This window comes from Homo sapiens, chromosome Y (genome assembly GCF_000001405.40).
Source record: "Homo sapiens chromosome Y, GRCh38.p14 Primary Assembly".
In the NCBI taxonomy this organism is placed as follows: Eukaryota; Metazoa; Chordata; class Mammalia; order Primates; family Hominidae; genus Homo; species Homo sapiens.
The window spans coordinates 18,205,471-18,223,380 of NC_000024.10; the positions used below are offsets into that span (position 1 = coordinate 18,205,471).

Consider the following 17,910-nt stretch of genomic DNA (forward strand, 5'->3'; position numbering starts at 1 on the left):
GTTAAAAACTAGAATGAAGCTATCTGTGAAATTACTTTGTGATGTGTGGATTCACCTCACAGAAGTAAATTTTTCTTTTGATACAGCAGGTTGCAACACTTTTTGTAGAATCTGCAAAGGGACATTTTGGAGCTCATTGATGACTGTGGGGAAAAACAGAGTATTCCCAGGTAAAAACAAGAAAGACTCTATCTGTGAAATGGATTTGTGATGTGTGGATTTATCTCACAAAGTTAAACCTTCCTTTTTATTCAACTGGTTGGAAACACTCTTTTGGGAGAATCTGTGAAGGGATATTTGGGAGCCCTTTGAGACTATGGGGAAAAACAGAATATGCCCTGATAAAAATTAAAAAGAAGCTATCTTTGAAATGGCTTTGTGAGTGTGAATTCATCTTGCAGGATTAAACATTTCTTTTGATTCAGCTGGTTGGAGACACTTCTTTTGGAGAATCTGTGAAGAGACATTTGGGAGCCCATTGAGACCTATAAGGAAAAAAACAGAATATCCCAAGGCAAAAACTATAAGGAAGACACCTGTGAAACAGCTTTGTGATGTGTGGATTCATCTAACAGAGTTAAATCTTTCTTTTGATTCAGCAGGTTGGAAACACTCTTTTTGGAGAATCTGCAAAGGCATATTTGGGAGCCTAGTGAGGTCCAAGGAAAAACAACTAATATCCCCAGATAAAAACTAGAAAGAATCTGTGAAACTTATTTGTGATGCATGGATTTATCTCACAGAGTTAAACCTTTTTTTTTTTTTTTTTTTTTTGATTCAAGCATTTGGAAACACTTTTTCTGGAATATCTGTGAAGGGGTATTTTGGATACCAATGAGGTCCATGGGGAAAAACCAAATATCCGTAGGTAAAAACTAGAAAGAAAGTATCTGTAAAACTGCTTTGTGATGTGTAGATTCATCTCACAGACAAAAACCTTTCTTTTAATTGATCATGTTGGAAACCTGTTTTTGTAGAATGTGTGAAGAGATATTTGGAAATGCAATGAGGCGCAGGGGAAAAAAACAAATATCCACAGATAAAGAAGTAAAGACTACCTATCGGTGAAACTGCTTTGGGATGTGTAGATTCATCTCAAAGTGTTAAAACTTTCTTTTGATTCAGCAGGTTGGGAACACTGTTTTTGGAGAATCTACAAAGGGACATTTCGGAGCCCATTGCATCATATGGCCATAAAATTGAATATCCCGAGGTAAAAAGTAGAAAGAAGCTATCTGTGGCACTGTCTTGTGATGTGTGGATTCATCTCACCAAGTTAAACCTTTCTCTGCATTCAGTAGGATGGAAATACTCTTTTTGGAGAATCAATGGGATAATTGGGAGACCATAGATCCCAAATTAAAATCAATGGAAAATTTCCAGATAAAAACTAGGAAGAAGCTATCTGTGAAACTGCTTTGTGATGTGCAGATTTAGCTCATGGAGTTAAACTTTCCTTTTGATTCAACAGTTTGAAAACTGTCTTTTTTGAGAATCTGTGAAAGGACATTTTAGAGTCCATTAAGGCCCATGGGGAAAAAAGTATCCCTATGTAAATAAGGGAAACAAAGTATCTGTGAAATTGCTTTGTGACATGTAAATTCATCTAACAGAGTTAAAGCTTTCTTTTGATCCCACAAGTTGGAATCGCTCTTTTTGGAGAATCTGTGAATGGACAATTTGGAATCCATTCAGGCCCATGGGGAAAACCTGAATATCCCATAATAAAAACTAGAATGAAGCTATCTGTGAAAATGCTTTTTGATGTGTGGATTCATTACACAGAATTAAACATTTCTTTTGATTCACCAGGTTGGAAACACTCTTTTTGGAGAATCTGCCAAGGGCAGTTGAGGGCCTTTGAGGCCCATGGGGAAAAACAAATACAGATAAAAACTAGAAAGACGCTATCTCTAAAACTGTTTTGGGATGTGTGGATTCATCCCACAGAGTTAAACCTTTCTTTGGTTTAGCAGGTTGGAAACACTATTTTAGATAATCTGTGAAGGGACATCAGAGAGCCCACTGAGGCCCATAAAAAACAAAAAAACGAATATAGCCAGGTAAAAACCAGAAAGAAGCTATCTGTGAAACTGCTTTTTATGTGTGGATTTATCTCAGAGTTAAACCTTTCTGTTATTCAGCAGGTTGAAAGCTCTTTCTTGACAATATTTGAAAGGACATTTGGAAGCTCATTGAGGCCTATGGGCAAAAACTGAGTATCACAGGGTAAAACAAAAAGCAAACTATCTGTGAAACTCCTTTGTCATCTGTAAATTCATCTCACAGAGATAAAGTTTTCTGTTGATTCAGCATATTGCAAGCACTATTTTTGGAGAATCTGCAAAAGGATATCTGGTAACACATTGAGGCCCATGGTGAAAACAGAATATTTCATGATAACAACTAGAAAAAAACTATCTGTGAAACTGCTTGGTGATGTGTGGATTCATCTCACAGAATTAAACCTCTCTTTTGACAGCCAGTTGGAAACACGTTTATTGGATAAACTGTGAAAGGCCATTTTGGATAAAATTGAGGCCCATGGGGGGGAAAAAAAAACTAATATCCCCAGTTAAAAACTAGATAATAGCTATCTGGGAAACTGCTTTGTGATACGGATTCATCTCACAGAGGTATACCTTTCTTTTGATTCGGCAGATTGGAAACACTCTTTTGGAGATTCTGCCTGGGGACATTTTTGACCCCATTGAAGCCCATGAAAGAAAACCGAATATCCCCAAGTAAGAACTAGAGAGAAGCTATCTATGAAACTGCTTTGTCATGTGTGGATTCATGTCACCAAGTTAAAACTTTTTTTTTTGATTCAGGAGGTTGGAAACACTCTTTTTTGGAGAATGTGCAAAGGAATATTTTGGATCCCACTGAGGCCCATGGGGAAAAACTGAATAGCCTTAGGTAAAAACTAGAAAGAAGCTATCTCTGAATCTGCTTTGTGATGTATAGATTCATCTCACAGATTTAAACATTTATTTTGATTCAACAGATCGTAAACACCCTATTAGGAGAATCTGCAAAGGGACATTTGGGAGCCCATTGCAGCCTATGGGGATAAACAGAATAACCCCAGGTAAAAACCAGAAAGAAGACATCTGTGGCACTGCCTTGTCATGTGTGGATTCATCTCACTGAGTTAAATCTTTCTTTTGATACAGCAGGTTGGAAACACTCTTTTTGGAGAACATGTGAAGGGATATTTGGGAGCCCATTGAGGCCCATGAAAAAAAAAATTCTAGATAAAAACTAGGAAGAGGCTGTCTGTGAAACTGCTTTGTGATGTGTGGAATAATCTCACAGAGTTAAACATTTCCTTTGATTCAGCAGTATCTGCAAAGAGACATTTTGGGTCCCATTAAGGCCTTTCAGGAAAATTCTAATATCCTCAGTTAAAAACTAGAAAGACGATATCTGGGAAACTGCTTTGTGATTTGTGTTTTCGTCTCACTGAGTTAAGCCTTTCTTTTGATTCAATAGGTTGGAAACACTCTTTTTGGAGAATCTGCAAAGGGACATTTTGGACCCCCATTGAGACCTATTGGGAAAATCCTAATATCCACAGGTAAAAACTAGAAAGATGATATCTGGGAAACTACTTTGGGATTTGCGCTTTCATCTCACTGAGTTAAGCCTTTCTTTTGATTCAGCAGGTTGGAAACGCGGTTTTTGGAAAATCTGACAGTGGACATTTGAGAGACCGTTGAGAACCATGGAGAACAACGTAATAGCCCCAGGTAAAAGCTAGAAAGAAGCTATTTGTCAAACTGCTCAATGATTTCTGGATTCATCTCAAAGGTTTACACCATTCTTTTGAGTCAGCAGGTTAAAAACAATCTTTTTGGATAATCTGTGAAGGGACATTTGGGAGCCCCTTTGAGGCCCAATGGAAAAAAAAATATGCCCAGATAAAAACTAGAAAGAAGCTGTCTATGTAACTCCTGGCTGATGAAGACGAATATGCCCAGGTAAAAACTAGAAAGTAGGTATCTGGGAAAGTGCTCTATGATGTGTGGATTCATCTCAGAGGTAAATCCTTCCTTTGATTCAGCAGGTTGGAAACATTCTATTTGTAGAATCAGCAAAGGGACTTTTGGGAGCCCATTCAGGCCTAAAGGAAAAATTGAATACCCCTACATAAAAACTGAAAGAAGCTGTCTGTGTAACTGCTTTGTGATGTAAAGATTAATGAAAGAGTTAAACCTTTCATTTGATTCATCAGGTTGACAGAACTCTTTTTGGAAAATCTGTGAAGGTACATTCAGGGCCCATTGTGGCCTATGAGGAGAAAGCAAATATCCCCTGATGAAAATAAGAAAGAGGGGTGCAGCCAAGATGGCCAAATAGGAACAGCTCCACTCTACAGCTTCCACCATGACCAATGCAGAAGATGGGTGATTTCTGCATTTCTAACTGAGGTACTGGGTTCATCTCACTGTGGAGTGCCAGACAGTGGGTGCAGGACAGTGGGTGGAGCACACTGTGCATGAGCTGAAGCAGGGTGAGGCATCACCTCACCCAGGAAGCTCAAGAGGTCAGGGAATTCCCTTTCCTAGTCAAAGAAATGGGCAACAGACGGCACCTCGAAAATCAGGTCACTCCCACATTAATACTGTGCTTTTCCAATGGGCTTCAGAAATGGCACGCCAGGAGATTATGTCCCACACATGGCTCAGAGGGTTCTATGCCCACTGAGCCTCACTCATTGCTAGAACAGCAGTCTGAGATCAAAATGCAAGGTGGCAGTGAGGCTGGGGGAGGGACACCCGCCATTGCTCAGGCTTGAGTAGGTAAACAAAGTGGCTGGGAAGCTTGAACTGGGTGGAGCCCACCACAGCTCAAGGAGGCCTGCCTGCTTCTGTAGGCTCCACCTCTGGGGGCAGGGCACAGACAAACAAAAGACAGCAATAACCTCTGCAGACTTAAATGTCCCTGTCTGAGAGTTTGGAAGACTAGTGGTTCTCCCAGCACACAGCTGGAGATATGAGAATGGGCAAACTGCCTCCTCAAGTGGGTCACTGACTCCTGAGTAGCCTAACTGGGAGGCACCCATCAGTACAGGCAGACTGACACCTTACCGGGCCGGGTACGCCTCTGAGCCAAAACATCCAGAGGAATGATTAGGCAGCAGCATTTGCGGTTCACCAATATCCACTGTTTTGCAGCCACCACTGCTGACACCCAGGCAAACAGGGTCTGGAGTGGACCTTGAGTAAACTCCAACAGACCTGCAGCTGAGGGTCCTGATGGCTAGAATGAAAACTAACAAACAGAAAGGACATCCACACCAGAAACCCATCTGTACGTCACCATCATCAAAGACTAAAGGTAGATAAAACCACAAAGATGGGGAAAAAACAGAGCAGAAAAACGGGAAACTCTAAAAATCAGAGCACCTCTCGTCCTTCAAAGGAATGCAGCTCCTCACCAGCAATGGAACAAAGATGGACAGAGAATGACTTTCACGAATTGTGAGAGGAAGACTTCAGAAGGTCAAACTACCCTGAGCTAAAGGAGGAAGTTTGAACCAATGGCAAAGAAGTTAAAAACTTTGAAAAAAAATTAGATCAATGGATAACTAGAATAACCAATGAAGAAAGTCCTTAGAGAACCTGATGGAGTTGAAAAACATGGCGCGAGAACAACGTGCTGAATGCACAAACCTCAGTAACTGATGCAATCAACTGGAAGAAAGGGTATCAGCAATGGAAGATGAAATGAAGTGTGAAGATCAGTTTAGAGAAAAAAGAATAAAAAGAAATGAACAAAATTTCCAAAAATATGGGACTATGTGAAAAGACCAAATCTATGTCTAATTGGTGTACCTGAAAGTGACAGGGAGAATGGAACCAAGTTGGAAAACATTCTGCAGGATATTATCCTGGACAACTTCCCCAATCTAACAATTCAGGCCAACATTCAAATTCAGGAAATACAGAGAATGCCACAAAGATACTCATCAAGAAGAGCAACTCCAAGACATATAATTGTCAGATTCACCAAAGTTGAAAAGAAGGAAAAAATGTAAAGGGCAGCCAGAGAGAAAGGTCGGGTTACCCACAAACGGAAACCCATCAGACTAACAGCTCATCTCTCAGCAGAAACTCTACAAGCCAGAAGAGAGTGGGGGCCAATATTCAATATTCTTAAAGAAAAGAATTTTCTACCCAGAATTTCATATCAAGCCAAACTATGCTTCATAAGTGAAGAAGAAATAAAGTACTTTACAGACAAGCAAATGCTGAGAGATTTTGTCACCACCATGTCTGCCCTAAAAGAGGTCCTGAAGGAAGCATTAAATGTGGAAAGGAACGACCAGTAGCAGCCACTGCAAAAACATGCAAATTATAAAGACCATCAAGGTTAGGAAGAAACTCCATCAACTAACTAGTTAATATCATAATGACAGGATAAAATTCACACATAACAATACTAACCTAAAATGCAAATGGGTTAAATGCTCAAATTAAAAGGCACAGACTGGTAAATTGGATAAAGAATCAAGACCCATCAGTGTGCTGTATTCAGGAAACCCATCTCACAGGCAGAGACACACATAGGCTCAAAACAAAGGGATGGAGGAAGATCTACCAAGCAAATGGAAAACAAAAAAAGCAGGGGTTGCAATCCTAGTCTCTGATAAAACAGACTTTAAATGAAACAACATCAAAAGAGGCAAAGAAGGCCATTACATAATGCTAAAGGGATCAATTCAACAAGAAGACCTAACTACCCTAAATGTATATGCACCCAATATGGGAGCACCCAGATTCATAAAGCAAGTCCTTAGTGACCTATAATGAGACTTAGACTTCCACACAACAATAATGGGAGATGTTAACACTCCACTTCAACATTAGACAGATCAACAAGACAGAAAGCTAAAAAGGATATCCAGGAATTGAACTCAGCTCTGCACACAGTGAACCTAATAGACATCTACAGAACTCTCCACCCCAAATCAACAGAATGCACATTCTTTTTAGCACCACACCACTCTTTTTCCAAAATTGACCACATACTTGGAAGTAAAGCACTCCTCAGCAAATGTAAAAGAATAGAAATTATAACAAATTGTCTCTCAGACCACAGTGCAATCAAACTAGAACTCAGGATTAAGAAACTCACTCAAATCCGCTCATTTACATGGAAACTGAACAACCTGCTCTGGAATGACTACTGGGTACATAACGAAGTGAAGGCAGAAATAAAGATGTTATTTGAAACCAATGAGAACAAAGAAACAACATACCAGAATCTCTGGGACACATTCAGAGCAGTGCGTAGCGGGAAATTTGTAACACTAAATGCCCACAGGAGAAAGCAGGAAAGATATAAAATTGATATCCTAACATCACAATTAAAAGAACCAGAGAAGCAAGAGCAAACATATTCAAAGGCTAGCAGAAGGCAAGAAAAAACTAAGATCACAGCAGAACTGAAGGAAATAGAGACACAAAAAACTCTACAAAAAATCAATGAATCCAGGAGCTGGTTTTCTGAAAAGATCAACAAAATTGACAGACCACTAGCAAGACAAATAAAGAAGAAAAGAGAGAAGAATATAATAGAAACAATAAAAAATGACAAAGAGGATATCACCACCGATCCCACAGAAATACAAACTACCATCAGAGAATACTATAAACACCTCTAATGCTAATGAACTGGAAAATCTAGAAGAAATGGATAAATTCCTCGACACATCCACTCTCCCAAGACTAAACCAGGAAAAAATTGAATCTCTGAATAGATCAATAACAGACTCTGAAATTGTGGCAATAATAAATAGCTTACCAACAAAAAAGAAGCCCAGGACCAGATGGATTCACAGACGAATTCTACAGAGGTACAAGGAGGAGCTGGTACCATTCCTTCTGAAACTATTCCAATCAATAGAAAAAGAAGGAATCCTCCCTAACTCATTTTATGAGGCCAGCATCATCCTGATACCAAAGCCTGGCAGAGACACAACAAAAAAAGAGAATTTTAGACCCATATCCTTGATGAACATTGTTGCAAAAATCCTCAATAAAATATGGCAAACTGGATCCAGCAATACATCAAAAAGCTTATCCACCATGATGAAGTGGGCTTCATCTCTCGGATGCAAGGCTGGTTCATCATATGAAAATCAATAAACATAATCCAGCATGTAAACAGAACCAAAGACAAACAACACATGATTATCTTAATAGATGCAGAGAAGGCCTTTGACAAAATTCAACAACGCTTCTTGTTAAAAACTCTCAATATCATTGTTCAATTCCCACCTATGAGTGAGAATATGCGGTGTTTGGTTTTTTGTTCTTGCGATAGTTTACTGAGAATGATGATTTCCAATTTCATCCATGTCCCTACAAAGGACATGAACTCATCACTTTTTATGGCTGCATAGTATTCCATGGTGTATATGTGCCACATTTTCTTAATCCAGTGTATCATTGTTGGACATTTGGGTTGGTTCCAAGTCTTTGCTATTGTGAATAATGTTGCAATAAACATACGTGTGCCTGTGTCTTTATAGCAGCATGATTTATATTCCTTTGGGTATATACCCAGTAATGGGATGGCTGGGTCAAATGGTATTTCTAGATCTAGATCCATGAGGAATCGCCACACTGACTTCCACAATGGTTGAATTAGTTTACAGTCCCACCAACAGTGTAAAAGTGTTCCTATTTCTCCACATCCTCTCCAGCACCTGTTGTTTCCTGACTTTTTAATGATTGCCATTCTAACTGGTGTGAGATGGTATCTCATAGTGGTTTTGATTTGCAGGAAGGGGAATATCACACTCTGGGGACTGTGGTGGGGTGGGGGGAGGGGGGAGGGATAGCATTGGGAGGTATAACTAATGCTAGAAGACGAGTTAGTGGGTGCAGCGCACCAGCATGGCACATGTATACATATGTAACTAACCTGCACAATGTGCACATGTACCCTAAAACTTAAAGTATAATAATAATAAAAAAAACTCTCAATAAATTAGGTATTGATGGGATGTCTTTCAAAATAATAAAAGCTATCTATGACAAACTGACAGCCAAAATCATACTGAATGGACAAAAATTGGAAACAATCCCTTTGAAAGCTGGCAAAAGATAGAGATGACCTCTCTCACCAATCCTATTCCACATAGTGTTGGAAGTTCTGGCCAGGAAAATCAGGTAGGAGAAGAAGGCAAAGGGTATTCAATTAGGAAAAGAGGAAGTCAAATTCTCCCTTTTAGCAGATGGCATGATTGTATATTTAGAAAACCCCATCGTCTCAGCCCAAAGTCTCCTTAAGCTGATAGGCAGCTTCCGCAACGTATCATGATACAAAATCAATGAGCAAATATCACAAGAATTATTATACACCAATAACAGAAAAACAGAGAGCCAACCATGAATGAACTCCCATTCACAATTTCTTCAAAGATAATAAAATACCTAGGAATCCAACTTACAAGGGATGTGAAGAACCTCTTCAAGGAGAAATACAAACCACTGCTCAATGAAATAAAAGAGGATACAAACAAATGGAAGAACATTCCATGCTCATGGGTAGGAAGAATCAATATCATGAAAATGGCCATACTGCCCAAGGTAATTTATAGATTCAATGCCATCCCCATCAAGCTACCAGTGACTTTCTTCACAGAATTGGAAAAAACTACTTTAAATTTCATACAGAACCAAAAAGGAGCCCACATTGCGAAGACAATCCTCAGTGAAAAGAACAAAGCTGGAGGCATCACACTACCTGACTTCAAACTATACTACAAGGCTACAGTAACCAAAACAGCTTGGTACTGGTACAAAACAGAGATATAGACCAATGCAACAGAACAGAGCTTTCAGTAATAATGCCACATATCTACAACTATCTGATCTTTGACAAACCTGACAAAAAGAAGCCATGGGGAAAGGATTCCCTATTTAATAAATGGTGCTGTGAAAACTGGCTAGCCATATGTAGAAAGCTGAAACTGGATCCCTTCTTTACACCTTATACAAAAATTAATTCAAGATGGATTAAAGACTTACATGTTAGACTTAAAACCATAAAAACCCTAGAAGAAAACCTAGGCATTATCTTTCAGGATATAGGCATGGACAAGGACTTCATGTCTAAAACACCAAAAGTAATGGAAACAAAAGCCAAAATTGACAAATGGGATCTAATGAAACTAAAGAACTTCTGCACAGCAAAAGACACTACCATCAGAGTGAACAGGCAACATACAGAATACGAGAAAATTTTTGCAACCTACTCATCTCACAAAGGGCTAATATCCAGAATCTACAATGAAATCAAACAAATTTACAAGAAAAAAAAAAAAACAACCCCATCCAAAAGTGGGCAGAGGATATGAACAGACAGTTCTCAAAAGAAGACATTTAGGCAGCCAAGAAAACACATGAAAATATGCTCATCATCACTGGCCATCCAAGAAATGCAAATCAAAACCACAATGAGATACCATCTTACACCAGTTAGAATGGTGATTATTAAAAAGTCGGGAAACAACAGGTGCTGGAGAGGATGTGGAGAAATAGAAACACTTTTAGATTGTTTGTGGCACTGTAAACTAGTTCAACCATTGTGGAAGTCAGTGTGGCGATTCCTCAGGGATCTAGATCTAGAAATACCATTTGCCCAGCCATCCCATTACTCATTCTCAGCAATCTATTGCAAGGACAAAAAACCCAACAGCACATGTTCTCACTCATAAGTAGGAATTGAACAATGAGAACACATGGACACAGGAAGGGGAACATCACACACTGGGGACTGTTGTGCGGTAGGGGGAGGGGGGAGGGATAGCATTAGGAGATATACCTAATGCTAAATGATGAGTTAATGGGTACAGCACACCAACATGACACATGTATACATATGTAACAAACCTGCACATTGTACACATGTACCTTAAAACTTAAAGTATAATAACAATAATAATAATAATAAAATTGTGATGGGGTTAGACATTTAAAAAAAAAGAAAATAAGTAAGAAGCTATCTGTGAAACTACTTTGTGATGCCTGGATTCCTCTCATAGGGTTGAACACTTTTGGAGAATGTGTGATAGGACAATGGGGAGCCCACCAATGGCAATGAGGAAAATTCGAATAACCCCAGATAAAAACTAGAAAGAAGCTATCTGTGAAACTGTTCTGTGGTATGTAGATTCACCTCAAATAATTAAACCTTTCTTTTGATACTGCAGGTTGGAAACACATTTTCTGAGAATCTGCAAGGGGACATTTTGGAGCCCATTGAGGCCTGTGGGGAAAAATATGGTATACCTAGGTAAAAACTAGAAAGAACATATCTGTGAAACTGCTTTGTGTTGTGTGGATTCATCTCACAGAGTTAACCCTTTCTTTTATTCAGCAGGTTTGAAATACTCTTTTTAAAGGATCTATGAAGAAATATTTTGAAGTTAATTGAGGCCCATGGAAAAAATAAACGAATATCTTCAGGTAAAATCTAGAAAGAAGCTATCTGTGAAATTGCTTTGTGATGTATGGATTTGTCTCACAGAGTTAAATCTTTCTTTGGATTCAGCAGATTGGAAAAACTCTTTTTGGAGAATTTGTGAAGGGACTTTTTGGAGTCCACTGAGCTGTTGAATAACTGAATATCCCCAGAAAAACAGTGGAATCTATCTGTGAAACTGCTTTGTGATGTGTGGATTCATCTCACAGAGTTAATCCTTTCGTTTGATTCCGCACGTTTGGAGCACTCCTTTTGGACAATCTGGAACAATATATTTTGGTCCATTGAAGCCAATGAAGGAAAAAAAGGAGTATCCCTAGGCAAAACCTAAAAAGAAGCTATCTGTGAAAATGCTTTGTGATGTTTGGATTCATGTCCCAGAGTTAAACTTTTCTTTTTATTCAGCAGGTTGGAAACACTCTTTTTGAACAATCTGCAAAGGGAAACTGGGGAGGCCATGGAAACCCATAAGGAAAAACAGAATATTACCAGATAAAAATCAATAAAAACTATCTGTGAAACTGCTTTATGATGTGTGAATTCAACTGACAGAGTCAAACCTTTCTTTTGATTCAGCAGGTTGGAAAATCTCTCCTTGGAGAATCTGTGAAGGGATATTTGGGAGCACATTGAAGCCCACATGGGAAAACAGAATATACCCGAATAAAAAGTAGAAAGAAACTATTTTTTGAAACTGTTTTTGTGTTGTATGAATTCACTTTACATAGTTAAACCATTCTTTTATACAGACGGTTGGAAAAATCTTTTTGAAGAATTTGCAAAGTGACATTTGGGAGCCAATTGAGGTCCATGTGGAAAAACCTGATAGCCCAAGATAAAAACAAGATGGAAGCTATCTATTATAAGGGGAAACCAGCCCCCAATGTTTCAATGTAGATTTTTTTCTATTTTCCCCAAGTGTAGTCTGGCCTGAGAAATAAAGGGAAAGAGTACAGAAGAGAGAAATTTTAAAGATGGGTGTCCGGGGGAGACATCATATGTCAGCAGGTTCTGTGATGTACCCCAAGCCACAAAACCTGCAAGTTTTATTAGTGATTTTCAAAGGGGAGAGAGAGCATGAAAGGGTTTGGGTCATAGATATCACATACTTCACAAGGAAATAAAATATGGCAAGGCAAATGGGGGCAGAGTGAGATCACAGGACTGTGGTGAAATCAAAATTGCTAATGGAGTTTCATGTCCCACTAAGCATACATTGTCATTGATAACATCTTATCAGGAGACAGTGTTTGAGAGCAGACAACCAGTCTGACTAAAATTTACTAGGCAGTAACTTCCTCATTTTAATAGGCCTGGGAGCACAATGGGAGGCCAGGGCTTATTTCATCCATTACCTGCAATCCTATAAGACAGAAACTCCCAGACCGGCCATTTTAGAGACATATCCCTGGGAATGCATTCCCTTTCTCAGGGCTGTTGCTTGCTGAGAAAAATAACTCAGCAATATTTCTCCTATTCACTTTTGTAAGAGGAGAAATATGGCTGTTCCACCCAGCTCCCAGTCCGTCAGACCTAATGGTTTTCTCCCTTGTTCCCTGAACATCACTGTTATCCTGTTCTTTTTACAAAGTGCCCAGATTTCATATTGTTTAAACACACATGCTCTACAAACAATTTGTGCAGTTAATGCAATCATCACAGTGTCCTGAGGCAATGTACCTCCTCAGCTTAGAAAGATGACAGGGTTAAAAGATTAAAGTAAAGACAGGCATAGGAAATCACAAGAGTATTGATTGGGGAAGTGATAAATGTCCATGAAATCTTCACAATTTATGTTCAGAGGTTGCCCTAAAGACAGACATAAGAAATTATAAAAGTATTAATTTGGGGAAATAATAAATGTCCATGAAATCTTCACAATTTATGTTCTTCTGCCATGGTTTCAGCCGGTCCCTCCAACTGGGGTCCCTGACTTCCCGCAGCATCTCTCCCTTTCTTTTATATAAATGTGCCATGGTGTTAAAGGCTTGTTTGTTCTCTCAATTTTGAGGCAGGAGTCTTTGACTGTTCCAGCACACTAAAGACAAGCTTATTAAACAGAAAAACATAATTCCAAAATTTACTACAGTGAAGCCCCCACAGACTTAATTCAAGTTGTGAGGTTTAGCCCGGAAAGATTTTCTGCCACCTGATCTAATGCCCCAGCTGCAGGCACAATGGACAAATGAGATTGAGAGATTTCAAAAATTTGTTTCTTTAATTTACTTATGTCCAGTGATAAATTATCTTCCTGACCTAGAAGGTGTCCTTTGACCACTTCTCATGAATGATCTATCTCATTGTAGGAATACAGAGTAGTACAGAAATCAGAACTGTTCCAATTGCACTGCAATTGCGTGTGATGTTCGAGACTCACTACCTGATCTCCAAGCAAATAACAGACTGTCTTAAATCATTAATTTGATTAGCCAATTTTTGATCAATGCCTTGTTGAGAATTCCACATTTGGGTGGAATTGGCTTGCCAATCATTAAAAAAATCAGCTGTTTGAATAGATTGATGTAACACCATTCCGGCAGTGGTCACCAGTGCAGTGACTAATTAGGCCCATGATTACTGTGATTAACGTGAAAACAAATCTCTTAGATCTTTTTAGAATTCGTTGTAACAATTCATTAATTAAATGTATTGAGGGGGAAGATTCCCAAGGTCTGGGCAAAATTATTGGAATACAGATTCCTTCTTGAGTTCTAACCACAATACACTTTTCGTGGAGTGAAAATGGGGGTTAATGCAAGTGTATAATGACAGATGATGCATTGAACAGTTTGATTGTTCGTTCAAATTTTGATATTTCCCACTAACAGCATGTAAGGAGGCTTAACATATCTCTGTATGGGAACAGTCGGGTTAGAGGTAAGTAAAACATACTGTCTGGATCTAAGTCAATACTGAGAGAGAGGGATGGTAGTGGGGACAACAGACAGAATAGTTTCCCCTTTCCATGCTCACAGTCCAGACATGGCAATCGCCAATTTTCAAAGTTCTGGGTATTCTGAGCTCAGGATGGGGAATATTATATGCTGCCTCAATGGGGTGGGGTAATGCTTTCATCTTCCCATTTCAAGGGAAAGAATGAGCTCAACCTCCTATGTAAAGTAAAATGATGATTCTCGTTCTCCAGATAAGAAATAAAATAAGCAGCCTCCAGGCATTCCCTTCCACCAGAGGAGCAACAGATTTTAAATAACCCTTTGGTGCCCAGTCTATTACTAAACCATATGAGTCATTTTAAATGTTACTGCATGCGAGTTAACACTGTCTTCCAAAATTAAGGTTTTACATGAGCCATCAAAATTTTTAGGGCATGGTTTTCCTGCAGGTTTATATTGAAAGTATGGGGTATCTCCCATTACTCCCTCTTTCATTTCCTTTAAAGAAGAAAGGGAGAGGCCAGAGACCAAATGTCCCAGTTCCTCTGTGGCTGATCTCTCTGGAAGACAAGTAGCCCAGAATTGAGTTTCTAGATGGATACAATCAGGTGCATGTTGGAGGCACAGAGGTGGGTATTTATAACCCATGATAACATTAAATACAGTGCCTTCTTCCCCTGGTTGAGTGGAGCAATTGTCATCTGTAGCTGCAGTCATCCACACACTATCATTAGTGTAGATTTCTGCAGGAGCATCCGTCCAGGTGAGAGGTCAAACAAGTGGAGGAAAAGGCACATAAGCCCAGTAAGAATAATTTTGTGTAGCAGGTAAATCAGTGTGTGAGGAAACTAGTGAGACAGAAAGTATAAGGGGGAGAATGATTCAGTAAAACCTACTGTAAGCAAGATTTAGTGCTGAAGGAGGAAGAAAAGAACAGAGGGATGTTATTTTTAGGCCAACAGAAATGGTAAGATTTTTAGGTTTGTAAGGAGAAAAATAAAGGTAATTCGAAGTGTAATTAGTTAGATGGGTCTCCGTTGTCATTGGGGGGATTGAATCAGACCCATTGTGATTTAGTGTGCCAGCTTCTAAGGAGTTGACACAGATCTTACCACATCTAAGTGTGGTCTCTGACATTGACGTCTTTTCCCTGTGGTTTTCGTTTGATGATCTCCTGGTGAAACACAAGCATATCCTCTTTCCCACGTTAAATGGAATCAGAGACAATATTTAAAGGCTTGGGGAAATCCTATAAGACAACAATTACAGCAATTAACTCTGCCTCTCGAGTAGTGGTATAAGGGGTAGAAATAAGCTTGTCTGTAGGACCTATATAACCAGCATTTGCATTGCTGGAGCCATTAGTGAACACTGTGATGGCCCCAGGAATGGGCTGATTTTTGCTTAATCAAGGGACCACTGAAGACGTAAGTTTTATAAAATCAAACAATTTGTTCTTTGGATAATGATTGTCAATAATACCAATGAAATCAACCAAGTGAATTTTCCACAGAATGGAATGTTGAAAGGTGGCTTGAACTTTAAACCAGTTTAAAGGAACTACAATTAAATTTGGATCAAATCTGGAAATTTTAAGTATTTTATACCATGTCTATCCAATTGGATTGGCCAACTGATTTGTGATGTATCGATTAATCTCACAGAGCTAAATCTTTGTTTTGATTCAGTAGGTTGGAAACACTCCTTTTGGAGAATCTGTGAATTTATATTTGGGACCCCATTGAGGCCTTTGGGGGAAAACCAAATATTCCCAGGTAAAAATCAGAAAAAAAAGTATATGTGAAACTGATTTCTGATGTGTGGATTCATCTTACAGAGATAAAACTTTCCTTTAATACAGCAAGTTGGAAACAATCTTTTTTGAGCATCTGCAAAGGACATTTTGATGCCCCTTGAGGCACATGGAGAAAAACTGAATATCTCCAGGCAAAAACTAGAAACAATATATCGGTTAAACTGCTTTGTGATGTGTGGGTTCATCTCACAGTGTTGAATATTTCTTTTGTTTCAGCAGGTTGCAAACACTCTTTTTGGACAATCTACCAACAAACATTTGGTAGCCCATTGTGGCCCATGGGAAAAAAGAAATATCCCCATGTACAAATAAGAAGCTATCTGTGAAACTGCTTTGTGCTGGGTGGATTCATCTCACAGAGTTATATTTTTCTTTTGATTCAGCAGGCTTCAATACTCTTTGGAAAATCTGGAAGGGACATTTGAGAGTTCATTGAGGCCCACTGGGAAAAAAACAAAAATCTCAAGTAAAAACTAGAAAGAAGCTATCTGTGAAACTGCTTTGCAATGTATGGATTCATCTCAGAGAATTAAACCTTTCTTTTGATTCAGCAGGTTGGAAAAACTCTTTTTGGAGAATCTGTGAAGGGACTGTTGGGAACCCATTGAGGCCCACAGGGAAAAACCCAGTAAACTTGTGTAAAAAACAGAAAAAAATCTGTGAAATTGCTTTTTGAAGTGAGGATTAAACTCACAGAGTTAAACATTACTTTTGATTCATCAGGTTGGAAACACTTTTTTTTGGAGAATCTGCAAAGGGACATTTTGGATCCCATTGAGGCCCATGGGAAAAAAAACGGAATACATTTAGATCAAAACTAGAAACAAGCTATCCGGAAAAATGCTTTGCAATGTGTGGATTCATCTAAAAGCTTTGAACCTTGTTTTGATGCAGCAGGTTAGAAACACTCTTTTTGGTGAATCTGCAACTGGACATTTGGTAGCCCATTGAGGCCCATGAGGAAAAACTGAATAACTGCATGTAAAACCTAGAAAGTAGCTATCTGTGAAACAGCTTTGGGAAGTCCCGATTTATCTCACAGAGTTCAATGTTTTTTTTTTTTTTTTGATTTACCAGGTGGGAAAGACTCTTCTTTAAGAATGCCTGAAGAGACATTTATTTGGCAGTTCATCAAGGCCCAGGGGGGAAAATTCAATATCCCCAGAAAAATACTAGAAAGAAGCTATATGTGAAACTGCTTTGTGAGCTGTGGATTCATCTCATAGTGTTATATTTCTCTTTTGATACAGCACTTTGGAAACACTTTTTTTGGAGAATCTGTGAAGGGAAATTTGGGAGCCCATTGAGGCCTATGGGGAAAAATTAAATATTTCACAGTAAAAACTAGAAAGATGCTCTCTGTGAAACTGCTTTGTGATGTGTAGATTCATCTCACAGTGTTAACCCTTTCTTTTGATTCAGTAGATTGGAAACACCCTTTTTGGAGAAACTGCAAAGGGACATTTGGAAGCCCAGTGGGACCCATGCAAAAAAACTGAATATTTCCTGTAAAACCCACAAATAAGCTATCTGTAAAACTGGTTTGTGATGTATGGATTTATCTCACAGAGTTAAATCTTTCTTTTGATTCAGCAGGTTCAAGACACTTTTTTTGGAGAATCTCCAAAGGGACATTCAAGAACCCATTGAGGCCCATGGAAAATTTCAAATATTCTTAGATTAAAACTAGAAACAGGC

The 17,910-nt window shown here is 38.8% G+C and overlaps 2 long non-coding RNA genes across 2 annotated transcripts; both read left to right on the forward strand.

Moving 5' to 3' along the window:
- The first annotated feature begins 752 nt into the window (after positions 1 to 752).
- Positions 753 to 7,613, forward strand: LOC124905303 (uncharacterized). The gene is made up of 3 exons (XR_007068456.1): positions 753 to 2,744; positions 2,832 to 3,580; positions 3,669 to 7,613. It is a non-coding gene; the product is annotated as an uncharacterized LOC124905303 (long non-coding RNA).
- A 3,617-nt stretch (positions 7,614 to 11,230) lies between these two features.
- Positions 11,231 to 12,031, forward strand: LOC105377219 (uncharacterized). Its single transcript, XR_001756090.2, has 3 exons — positions 11,231 to 11,313; positions 11,401 to 11,486; positions 11,575 to 12,031. It is a non-coding gene; the product is annotated as an uncharacterized LOC105377219 (long non-coding RNA).
- The last annotated feature ends 5,879 nt before the right edge of the window (positions 12,032 to 17,910 follow it).